General features: G+C 53.4%; 5 annotated features.

Annotated features, from left to right (window-relative positions):
• Nucleotides 350-849: an enhancer, noted in NCBI's record as "H3K4me1 hESC enhancer chr17:47941593-47942092 (GRCh37/hg19 assembly coordinates)". NCBI's record gives its function as "activates a minimal SCP1, AML or CMV promoter by ChIP-STARR-seq in primed H9 embryonic stem cells {active_cell/tissue: H9 hESC(primed)}" and the evidence as "EXISTENCE:reporter gene assay evidence [ECO:0000049][PMID:30033119]".
• Nucleotides 2884-3831: an enhancer, noted in NCBI's record as "H3K4me1 hESC enhancer chr17:47938611-47939558 (GRCh37/hg19 assembly coordinates)". NCBI's record gives its function as "activates a minimal SCP1, AML or CMV promoter by ChIP-STARR-seq in primed H9 embryonic stem cells {active_cell/tissue: H9 hESC(primed)}" and the evidence as "EXISTENCE:reporter gene assay evidence [ECO:0000049][PMID:30033119]".
• Nucleotides 3832-4781: an enhancer, noted in NCBI's record as "H3K4me1 hESC enhancer chr17:47937661-47938610 (GRCh37/hg19 assembly coordinates)". NCBI's record gives its function as "activates a minimal SCP1, AML or CMV promoter by ChIP-STARR-seq in naive H9 embryonic stem cells {active_cell/tissue: H9 hESC(naive)}" and the evidence as "EXISTENCE:reporter gene assay evidence [ECO:0000049][PMID:30033119]".
• Nucleotides 3832-4915: a biological region, named in NCBI's record as "CRISPRi-validated cis-regulatory element chr17.3537". NCBI's record gives its function as "regulatory_interactions: LRRC59 | PHB1".
• Nucleotides 4513-4915: a transcriptional cis regulatory region, noted in NCBI's record as "candidate enhancer chr17.3537 targeted for multiplex CRISPR interference". NCBI's record gives its function as "positively regulates LRRC59 and PHB gene expression in K562 cells {active_cell/tissue: K562}" and the evidence as "EXISTENCE:mutant phenotype evidence [ECO:0000015][PMID:30612741]".

The raw sequence follows: 12041 nt of genomic DNA, 5'->3' as shown, positions 1-12041 counted from the left end.
ACTCACAGTCTCACACACAGAGACCAACATCCATGGGGATAATTACACACCCCACAAGATCACAGTCGTACAGTTTAAACTCTAGTCCCTCATCTCCGATCATACTCACAGGCTGCCCCCATGGACAGCATGATGGAGCCACACAATGTCCTAGTCACCCACAGTGGAGCATGCCACGGTCACCCATGGGTCATCTCACACCCACACACCACCAGATCCCAGCAACACAATCCTCCATACCTCATGGGGTCCCAGCCCACCAGCCCCATCACACCATGTTCAGACTACATAGCCCCAGCACATAGTGCTGAATCAAACATGTGCGCCCCTCCTGTAGACCCCAACACACCACGTGGCATGTTGTTGCTGCTCTATGCCTGCCTCTTTCTCTCCTGCACGTGTATATCTGCCCCCCCAACCCTCCCACCTTCTCCAAATATGAACACCCAAACATGGCAGGCAGTCTAGGGTACCCCCTCCCTACTCCTTGAACTCTGCCCCTGCTCACTTCTCCTAAGGACAGGCCCCCAGATTCCCAGGCCAGAGCTAAGCACCAGAGAATAAACCTGACGCTGTGGACATACTAGGCCTAGGCTGGGTCTGGGCTGGAGGGGTAGGCAGCGGGTTATCCCTCTCCCCCACCACCAGGCCTGCCCTCCACTACCTACAGGAGCCCTCCAGCTTACAGGGACATATTCTGAGCATGGCAGTCAAGCCTTGCTTGCCCTGCCTGGCATCACCACTTGGCCCTCAACTCTGGCCCCTGAAATGGGTAGGATCACATTTGCCCCTTCTTCTCCCTGACCCCACTCTCTGCCCTGAAGCCTGCAGCCCAGGAGCCCAGCGTTGGCAAGCTGAGTCCCACTGCGGCCGGCGCCTCCAAGGATGAAAGACCTCTGGCTCCTCCAGAAACCAGGGCTAAATATACCCCTCGCCCGCTTTCTTGTGCCTAACTGGAACCAGCTGGGAAAGACCCACCCTTCCGCCTGCAGGACAGGTCACGGACCATCGCAGTATGGACAGACAGAGCGTCAGCAGGCAGCTGCCTGGGAGCCATGCCTGATAGTACTGGACCCTCAGATTGGAGCCTGAAAATATCCGGGAAGAAACGCATGTCTCTCAGCATCTCCTTCCTCCAATACCTAACAAAGACAAGAATAAGCCTGACACAGGATACATCAACTATTTCTTTTATTTTCTTTTTTAAAGACATGGGGTCTCAGCTGGGTGTGATGGCTCACGCCTGTACTCCTAGCACTTTGGGAGGCCGAAGCAGGTGGATCACGAGGTCGGGAGTTTGAGACCAGCCTGGCTAACATGGTGAAACCCCGTCTCTACTAAAAATACAAAAATTAGTCAGGCGTGGTGGCACGTACCTGTAATCCCAGCTACTTGGGAGGCTGAGGCAGGAGAATCGCTTGAACCCAGGAGGCAGAGATTGCAGTGAGCCGAGATCGCACCACTGCACTCCAGCCTGGGCGACAGGTGACAGAGCAAGATTCCAAGTCAAAAAAAAAGAGATGGGGTCTCATTCTGTTGCGCAGGCCAGAGTGCAGTCCTGCAATCATAGTTTACTGCAGCCTCGAACTCTTGGGCTTAAGCAATCCTCCTGCTTCAGCCTCCCAAAGTGCCGGGATTACAGGCATGAGCCACTGTGCCCAGCTGTCAAATGAACTATTTTTGAGTCTCAATCTTTCTATCTGAGACATTTATAGAGATAAAATAGCACTGATCTCAACGTGCTGTTGTAAGCAGTGAGTTAATACAGGTAAAGCGCCGGAACTGTAACTGGCACAAAGTAAGCACTCAATAAATGCTGGTCATTATTATGAACATTCTGGGCATCGCTCCTAGGGCCAACACTGCCTGAAAGTGCTGGCATTGCACAATCTTTGGATACACACAGAGTTGCAGGCCAAGGACTAACTGCTTCACATCAGTAGGGCTGGGGGCACTGGCAGAGGGATGGGCAGAGGGTGGAATCGATCCATAAGGGGCCCAGGGAGGGGTCTGATGAGCCAAGACACGCCCCCACTCCCAGCCCTGCCCCAGGCCTGGCCACGTCCTGGGATCCCCTCCCCCACCAGGACTCCGCCCGGGCTGTGGTCTCTGCTGTGGCTGCAGCTCCCACGCCGCGGCCCAGTTTAGCGGCTCCAGCCCGCGGCCCCAGGACAGCCCACTCTCCGGCCCAGTCCAGAGGCCTGAAATAGGAAGGAAGAGGGGCCTAAAAATAGCCCTAATTACAGAGGGGCCCAAGGGGGTGGGGGGCGGCGGCTCCTCTCTGGCTCCTGGGCACTGCCACAGCCTGCTGAGGATCCTGCTCCAGCCTTGAGGAAGGGACCCCACCCTGGCCCTCCTGGCCCCAGCCCACAGCCAGCCTCCCAGCGGGACAGGGAGTGAGGGGTGGGGCGGCGGGATGGGCCAGAGGGGAGCTTAGCCCAAGTTAGGGCCAACGCGGTCCCCTCCCCTGAATACAGGGCTGTGACAGCCCCACCTCTGCTCCCCACACATGAAGATCATTGGACAACTCTTAGCCCCATGGCTGTCACAGAGGGCACTACCCTCACTCAGCCTACCTCCCCTAGTCCTGGCCCACCCCTTCCCTGGCTCCTCCAGGAAGCCTGCCTTGAATATCCTCACCTAGCTCAGGCTCAACACTAGCAGGGGCTCCCAGATGGCCGCACCTCTGTCTCCCCCATTCGATTGGCCCCTGGGGCAGAGTTATGTTTTCAAATCAGCCTGGGGGCTCCCAGAGGGCAGGGACCACCTCTTCTACATTTCAACCTCATTAGAAGAGAAAGAGTGCCAGGATACACAGAACAAAGGGGCAAAAAAAGGGAAAAAAAGAAACTGGTTCATGTACAGATGCCTAAATTCTTTTTTTTTTTTTTTTTTTTTTTTTTTGAGACGGAGTTTCATTCTGTTGCCCAGGCTGGAGTGCAATGGCGCGATCTCGGCTCACTGCAACCTCCGCCTCCTGGGTTCAAGCGACTCTCCTGCCTTAGCCTCCCGAGTAGCTGGGATTACAGGCGTGCGCCACCATGCCTGGCTGATTTTGTATTTTTAGTAGAGATGGGGTTTCTCCATGTTGGTCAGGCTGGTCTCGAACTCCCAACCTCAGGTGATCCACCCACCTCGGCCTCCCAAAGTGCTGGGATTACAGGCATGAGCCACCGCGCCCGGCCCAGATGCCTAAATTCTAAGAGGACCCAAGGGCTGAGGTCATCACGAGCACCTCCCTGGGCAGAGGGTTCTGAGTCAGGTCTGAAAGAAGCGGACCAAGGAGACATGAGAGGGACGGAAGTAGGAACAGGGACTTGGTGTGGGAGAGAGCGCTCTGGCTCTGGAGATCCTTGCCCCAGCCCCTTCCTGCCTCACTTGCCCAGGAAGCCCAGGGTTTTGGAACCTGCGAAGCTTGGGTTTGAGTTCCCTTCCGCTACACACGTGCTGTCCTGCCTTCAGCAAGTGGCTTCACTTCTCTGAATTCTGTTCTCTGGAGATGATCACTAGGACCTCACTGGCTTGCCGGGAGTAAAGGCTATCACACCCTCGGTGGGCGTGGGCGGACACCCTGAAGGGAATGGCAGGTAGAGGCTCTCCCCAGGGAGCTGGATGCTCCTGCCCCTACCCTGGCCCTGCTGGTATTTTGCTGCATGTTTTCCTCTGGGTGTAAAGTCCTGGGAAGGCGTTGGACAGGGTGTGGGTGTTGTGAAAGGTTAATCATCTTGGCGGGTGGGGGGGGGACCCCCAGCAAGGACCGGGGACACATGATGCGCTGGTGCCATCTGGTGGCTACAAGTAGCAATAACAGTTACCTGGGCTGAGAGGAGAAAAGCGATGGAGAAAGATCAGGACAGGGGATGAAAAAGAAAAGGAGGAAGACAGAGAAAGGCAAGAGGGAGGAAGGGAGGGCAGAAGATAACAGGAGAAGCAAGATGCTTAAGAAGATCGGACCTTCTCAGATGTTACCACGGACCTAGGTAGGCCAAGAATATTTTTCTGTGGCATCTCTAGGGTCCCAGAAGCCATAAGGGACCCCATAGCACATGGGTCTGAGCCGTGAGGCCTGACGACCAGGGAATCAAACCAGGGGTTACTCCATGGGGACCCCCAGTCCTCAGGCCCAGCCTCATGAGCATTGGGCTGTTGGCCCTGGACATCACGGAGGGGGTAAAATGGTCCCCATGAACCTGGCCAAGTTGGCCCCTGGAAAGGTTGGCCATGGGCACCCCCATGAGTGTGAGTGAAGGGAAGCATGTACCTGTGCGTGTCGCCCGCATGCAGGAGCCCAGCACACACCCCACCAGCCCCTGGGACACCCGTGACATGCACCTGCATTATGTAGAAGGCTTGGGCTGAGCTGCCTGAGGGCCCCCACCTCACCCTCTGCTTCCTCTCAGGGGTGGGAGGCCGAGGGTGAACTTGTTTACCACTTCTGCTCTGGGCAGTGGTGATGAGCTCAGACTGGCCCAGTGCCCTTCAAGGGCAGGGCCAGGCCTGAGTCATGGGGGTCAGATGACTGCGGAGGCTAAATGGGTCCCATCCTGCAGCCCCCAGGAACTTTTGGACACCCCGCCCTTCCCCTGATGGTGGGCCACCCTTCCAAATCATTCAGCATCCCCAGGCCAAACACAGGGTGGAGACAGTTCAGGGTTCAGGCCACCATCGGCCCCTCCCCACAGTTCCATCTCTGCCCAGCCAGGCCCACTCTCCTGAGCACCTATCCCAGGGCCATTCACTGCCCTCTGGCGGCACCACCCTAGTTCAAGCTAACGCCCTCCCAGAATGGCAAACACTCCTCTAGTCACATGCGAGGCCGCAAACATCCTAGAAATAAATCAAACATTGAGGCTGTTACTTCTCCCGGGACCTCAGGCTGCGGCACTGTCTAACGAGGTGGCGAACTGATGCTCTCCGGGACACTTCCCCAGTGACCTCTGCCCTTGGCCTGCGGTGCACATTCCTGGGGCTGCAGTTGACGAAAGCTAAGAGAAGGCCCTCAACTCTGTCCCCCAGCAGACCTATGGGGTCAGGATTATCTGCTGATTGGAGGCCCACACCCTGGCTCCCTTCAGACAGCATGAGGAACCAAGGTTAGCTTTAGACACCCAACAATAATTCCACCTTGGCCAGGCGTGGTGGCTCACGCCTATAATCTCAGCACTTTGTGGAAGGCTGAGGGGGGCAGATCACCTGAGGTCAGGAGTTCAAGACCAGCCTGGCCAGCATGGTGAAACCCCATCTCTACTAAAAATACAAAAATTAGCCAGGTGTGGTGGTGCATGCCTGTAATCCCAGCTACTTGGGAGGCTGGGGCAGGAGAATGGCTTGAACCCGGGAGGCGGAGGTTGCAGTGAGCCAAGATACTGCCACTGCACTCCAGCCTGGGCAACTGAGCAACACTCTGTCTCAAAAATAATAACAATAATAATAATAATTCCACCTTCATGATGGATTTTTGTCTTTCACATCTTTTCTAGTATGCTGGGATATTTGGGTTCCACTGAAAATAAACTCTTAATGGATTTAAAAGCCTCCCCTTTATTTGGAGCACTGCCCAAGCTACAGCTTCTGTGGCACACCTCCCTCAAAGACACTGGCTCCCGGAGGGCCAGTCCACTGTTGCTCCAGAATATTTCCCCGACAGCGCACACAGAACTTCCATCCATGGCTGGGTTTAGATGTGTTTGAGCCTCGTCTCGTCTCCCTCCCCAGTAGGACTGCTGCTCCCTGTGGTCAGGACTGGAGCCCTTCACTCTGGGAACCCCCTTCCCCCCAGGTCCCCACCCTACAGTCCACAGACATTGGCAGAGACCTGGACATGCAGGCAGGTTCAATCCAGGTCCTGTCACTAGACTCACCGGGTGGCCTTGCATAGGCCAACCTCCCCAACTCTGGGCATTTGCTGTCTCCATCTGTGCAAAAACAGGATTGGAAAAGACCCCACAAAGAACCCTCTGAACCCTAAAACTCTGTTTACAACTCACCAACAGGGGCATCTGTTTTTGTTGCAAAACCGAAGGAAGTCTGGGGAGGGAATTAGTGCTAGGGCTCCCTCCTGCTGCCCCAGCTCCCCACCCCCGGCCTTCAGCTGGCACTGACTCCTTCCCACTGCTGCTTTGGCAATGCCTGCTTCCTCCCAGCCTCCCCTGGCTTCACTGATTCCCCAACATGCCACCCCCGGCGGCCTCCTGCTTCAAGCCCTGACAGTGCCCCGGCTCCCCCATCCGCTCCTCTGATCTTCAACCCTGGCAGCCCCTCTCCCCAGTTTGGCACTGCATCTTTCAGCCTGCTGTCTGCCAAGCCTGGGCAGCACTCACTCTCCATGCCTGGGCACCAGGGTTTGGCTTTGGCCTCCCCAAATCTTCAAGCCTCAACATCGTCCTCGCCCACCTGCCCCTGGGCGCCGGAGAATCTCCACTGGAGACTCTCCAACTCTTCCTGAAGTCAGCTTGGTCATCCCCCTGTCTCAGGGCCAACCTACACCTCCGGGAGCACTGGCTGGTGGCACTACTATCACCCCCTCAGGTCTTCCAATGAGTCTCAAGGTGATGACTCCATTTACTCTTTGGTGAGAGAGGAGGACAGCTTCACTCTACCATCATTAACAACATCAAAGAACCAAGGCGCTGCCTCTGAGTCCCAGAGGCAAGTCCCAGAGGCTGCAGGGGCTCTAAGCCACAGGGGAAACCCCCCAGGGGACCACTGGCTGATAATGGGATTTTAGGGCCCTCTGGCCAGGAGGATTCTTCACAGGAAAACTGAAAGCAGGCCCAATACACTGGTGGGCATGCTCCTGCCCCGGGATACCCCAATGTCTCTGCCTCCAGCCCCTGCTTCCCTGTGGGACCTTCTGCTGCATTTGACACTGGTGACTCTTCCCTGTTTTTGTTTGTTTGTTTGTTTGTTTGTTTTAGACAGGGTCTCACTCAGTCGCCCAGGCTGCAGTGCAATGGCACAATCTCTGCTCATTGCAACCTCCACCTCCCAGGCTCAAGTGATCCTCCCACATCAGCCTCCTAACACATGCCACCATGTCCAGCTATTTTTAAATTTTTTTTTTTTTTTTTTTTTTGACACAGAGTTTCGCTTTTGTTGCCCAGGCTAGAGTGCAATAGAGCAATCTCGGTTCACTGAAACCTCCGCCTCCCAGGTTCAAGCGATTCTCTTGTCTTAGCCTCCTGAGTAGCTGGGATTACAGGCGCCCGCCACTATGCCCAGCTAATTTTTGGTATTTTTAGTACAGACGGGGTTTCTCCATGTTGGCCAGGCTGGTCTCGAACTCCTGACCTCAGGTGATCCGCCTGCCTCGGCCTCCCGAAGTGCTGGGATTACAGGTGTGAGCCACTGTGCCTGGCCTAATTTTTAAATTTTTTATAGAGACAAGGTTTCACCATGTTGCCCAGGCTGGTCTCAAACTCTTAGGCTCAAGCAATCCACCCACCTCAGCCTACCAAGTGCTGGGATTACAGGTGCGAGCCACTGCCACCATGCCCAGCCACCGCCACCATGCCCAGCCACCTTCCATGGTTTTGTTTTGTTCTTTTTCGAGACAGTCTCTTTCTGTTGCCCCAGCTGGAGTGCAAAGGTGCGATCTCGGCTCACTGCAACCTCTGCCTCCCGGGTTCAAGTGATTCTCCTGTCTCAGCCTCCCGAGTAGCTGGGACTACAGGTGTGCGCCACCAAGACTGACTAAGTTTTGTATTTTATTAGAGACGGGGTTTTGCCATGTTGGCCAGGCCCTGGTTCTTAAAACTCCTCTCCCCATGGGCTTTTCATATTTCTCTTCTAGTCTTTTTTTTTTCAAAATGGGTGAATTACATAAAGCACATATAACAGTATGGCAAAACCGAATGCTCACTACCCAGCTTAAGGAATAACTCATTTCCAAGAAGAATTAAAACCACCTGTGTCCTCTCCTGACCCCATCCCCCTCCCTCCTTCCCTCCCCATGGGTGAGCTCCCTCCTAAACCCATCAGTTATTCCCATGAATATTTCACACTTTCACTACATGTGCATGGATCCCTTCATAACATGGAGATGTGTCTTTCATGTTTGTAAATTCTACCTAGATGGGCTGGCCTTATAGGTATTCTGCTGCACTTTGCTGCTTTTGCTCAACATTTTATGAGTTGTTTTTTTGTTTGTTTGTTTGTTTGTTTTGAGATGGAGTCTTGCTCTGTCACCCAGGCTGGAGTGCAGTGGCGCCATCTCGGCTCACTGCAACCTCCGCCTCCCAGGTTCAAGTGATTCTCCTACCTCAGCCTCCCGAGTAGCTGAGACTACAGGCGAGTGCCACCACGCCCAGCTGATTTTTTGTATTTTTAGTAGAGACGGGGTTTCGCCGTGTTAGCCAGGATGGTCTCGATCTCCTGATCTCGTGATCCGCCCGCCTCAGCCTCCCACAGTGCTGGGATTACAGGCATGAGCCACTGCACCCGGTCAACATTTTATGAGTTTATATGTTGATACATGCACTCTAACTCATCTATTTTCACTGCTGTGTAATAGTCCACTACCATAAGTGCTTAATCCATTCTCAGGTTAATGGACATTTTGATTACTTTTTATCTGTTTTCAATTGTGGTTTGTTGTTTTCGTTTGTTTGTTTGGAGACAAGGTCTTGCTTTGTCACCCAGACTGAAGTACAGTGGCACAACCACTGCTCACTGCAGCCTTGACCTCCTGGGCTCAAACAATCCTCCCACCTTAGCCTCTGAGTGGCTGGAATTACAGGCACACATCACCACACCTAGCTAATTTTTTATTTTTTATTTTTTATTTTTCATTTTTCGTAGAGATAGGGTCTTGATTTGTGCCCAGGCTGGTCTTAAACTCCTGGACTCAGGCAATCCTTCTGCCTTGGCCTCCCAAAGTGCTGGGATTACAGGTATGAGCCACCACACTGGGCCTTCAATTGCTTTTTAATGCTGCAAGTAATACATGCACATATTTTCACTGTAAAATATTCAAATAATACAGCATATCAAATGGATGATGTTACTTCAGCTCATCTCAGAAGTGTATGCTTCCTGCCCTTATCAGGTGTGAACATGTACATGTCTGTACATATGCGTCTGTACCTTTGTAAGTGTCACTCTCCCTGGTGTCCACACCTCTTCTCTCTCCTGATGCACCTGCCCTTCTAATTCTCCTTCTCGGTCTCTCCCATCCCACCCCCTTGCCATAGCCTACCTAGGTCTCCATGTCAGCCTGTTATTGTTGATTTTGCAGGGTTTTCCTGGTCTCCTCTAGCTTCACCAGCCCCAAACACTGAGTTCCTTAAAGCTCCATGGCTTTGCCCCTGGAGCTCCAGCATCTCCAGCATCTCCCATGAAATTGTCCAAATGGACACTCACAGCCCACCCGCCCCCACCCCGAGCCTGCTCTCCTTCCTCTTCCTCCTCCCAATCCTCCTTCCCTCCAGGTCTCAGATCTACTGGTGCCTGATGCCTTCTGCAATGTCACTGGCCCCAGCCCTCTTCTCCCAAGCCCCAGGTCTGCCTTCGAGGCCGACCCATTTCTTCCCTGGACTATTACAATGACTTCCTCCTAAAAGGCTTCCCTGCCTCCAGCCCCTCCCCATCTCCATTCCCTCCTCCTCATCACCTCTTTGAGGAGAGGAGAGTTTAAGAGCCCTTAAGAGAAATAAAAATCCCTAGGGATTTTATCCGCCTGGATAAAATCCAAGCTCCCCAGCATTGCATTCGAGGCTCCCCATTTCCCAGACAGCCTGTACAGGCTCTCATTGAACTTAAACCCAGTGAGAACTGTCTTCTTTCAAGCCTCAGTACCTTTTTGTGCTGTTCCCGCTGCCTAGACACCCTTCGCTATCATCACTCGGCAAACTGGCATCCACCATTCAATATCTCCTCTGAGAACTTTTCCTGACTCTCCCAGCAAAATTTCCCCTCGATGCATCCATGCTCTGTACAAAACTCTGCTATAACTCCTCCAGACTCATGCTCAGGTTGACCAGAAAACTCCTAAAGTCAAAAACCCCTTTTTGTGAGCCCTGTATGTGTGCTCATACAATGTACACTATGTCCTGATTTGACACTCAAATAAATATGGTTGCCATGCTTAAAGCAATGGTACTATTGTGCTTTGTCTCCAGTCACATGCCTCTCTCCCCCTGCCCTGTGTAAGCTTTCTGGGGCTGTGACATGTCTTGTTCTTATTTCCCCATGCTTGGCACAGGCATTTTAATTAGGGGTCAAAGGATGCCTATTTGGGGACAAGATAAGTTCCATCATCCCCTTTGGATTTCTGCTCTAATATTTCATCATCTGTCCCCCCAGTCTGGCTTTATCAGGGCCTGTGCTAGCCCATAAGGCACATCTGTGTGAAACGGGAAAAGGCAGCCCTTCCTTGAATGGTGCAGGTGAGGCCCAAGCGGTTGGTTTGGTGAAATGAGCAGGGCTGAATTTCAGCCTCCATGATCTGCCTCAGCCAGGCACCTTTGGGCAGTGCTCAACCTGCACAACTGTATAGGGCATCCCTGTCTATGATGGTTTACTTAACCATAAAGGTGGCACTCAGACTATTCCTCTCCTCTGCCCCCTCCCTCTCTCCCTCTCTGCCCGTCCGAGATACATACTTACTCCAAATGATATCTCCAATCCACCTCACTTAGAATCTCAGATCTTCCTATTCAACAAACTTTCCATTTTACAGATGAGTCTCAAAGAGAAGAAAGGTCATGCCTAGTGTCACTCAGAGCTGAAGGCAAAACAAGGAAATAGTGGAGGGAGAAGAGGAGTCTGCAGACAAGTGGAGGGAAAGTACCAAGACATGAAGATCGTACAGCCCCTAAAGGGAAGTTCTTTAAAGGCCCCACATCTAGTGCGAGGCACAGGGCAACTGTGCCCTAAAACTTTCCAGCTGTTTCCATCTGCAGGGGCAGAACTGCAGGAATGGGGAGCCAGCCCAGCCAAGACCGCAGAGCCTAGGGTCCCAACTCCAGACCTGGACGCTTCCTGGGAAGTCAACCCTAAGGACTTAGAGAATCATTTACTTGCCTTCTCTAGCCATCTCTGCTCCCTGATTGAGTGCTCACACATGAGGCCAGAAAGGGACTGGGGTTCTTCCCTCCCCACCCCAAGACTAACCCCTGCTCTCCCAGACCACAGACACACTGGGCAGCCTCTCATCCCCCACAGCTGCTGCCCCCAGCTCCATCAGCTCAGGGGTTCTGGTCCAGCCAGAGAGAGCAGGATGGAGGGTCAATCCCAAAAGGGCAGCTCCGTGCGCCCCTCATACCAAGTCCCCGCCAGCCAAGTCCCCAACCCGTGGGTGCTGTCTCCATGTGGCTGGCTCCAGAGTCCTCCCTGATAAGAGAAACAAACCGTTCTGCAGACACTGGGGTCTGGAGGCTCCACGTGGTAGACAGAGGACAGTGCATTATAATTACATTTGCAATTAGCTGTTCACTTTTCTCTCGCACTTGCTAACCAAGATCCAGGAAGAAAAGGTTGATGTTAATCATAAGCTTCTCTTCTCTCACTAATGGGGTCAGACGCTGGTGACTTGATAGCACACAGGCTTCCGGGAGGAATACGCACTCTGGAGGGAGACTTCTTCAGGGCCACATTTGAGGCCAGGGTCAGGAGAAGACCCCACATGCCCCAACAGAGGGGCTTCACCAGCCTCCCTCAGCCTGGCTCCCTCTGCTTCTGAAATCTACCTTTAAGGTCCTTGTATGCTCAACCTTGTCTAAGAAATAGGCCGGGCACGGTGGTTCACGCCTGTAATCCCAGCACTTTGGGAGGCCAAGGCGGGCAGATCACTTGGGGTCAGGAGTTCCAGACCAGCCTGGCCGACATGGTGAAACCTGTCTCTATTAAAAACACAAAAAAATTGGCGGGCTTGGTGGCTCACGCCTGTTTTCCCAGCTACTCAGGAAGCCAAGGCAGGAGAATTGCTTGAACCTGGGAGGCAGAGGTTGCAGTGAGCCAAGATCGCACCACTGCACTCCAGTTTGGGCAACAGAGCAAGACTCAAAACAACAACAACAAAACAGAACTCTGATCCGCTAGTG

This window comes from Homo sapiens, chromosome 17 (genome assembly GCF_000001405.40).
Source record: "Homo sapiens chromosome 17, GRCh38.p14 Primary Assembly".
NCBI lineage: Eukaryota > Metazoa > Chordata > Mammalia > Primates > Hominidae > Homo > Homo sapiens.
The sequence above is the reverse complement of the archived record's forward strand: the minus strand, read 5'-3'. Positions and strand labels throughout refer to the sequence as shown.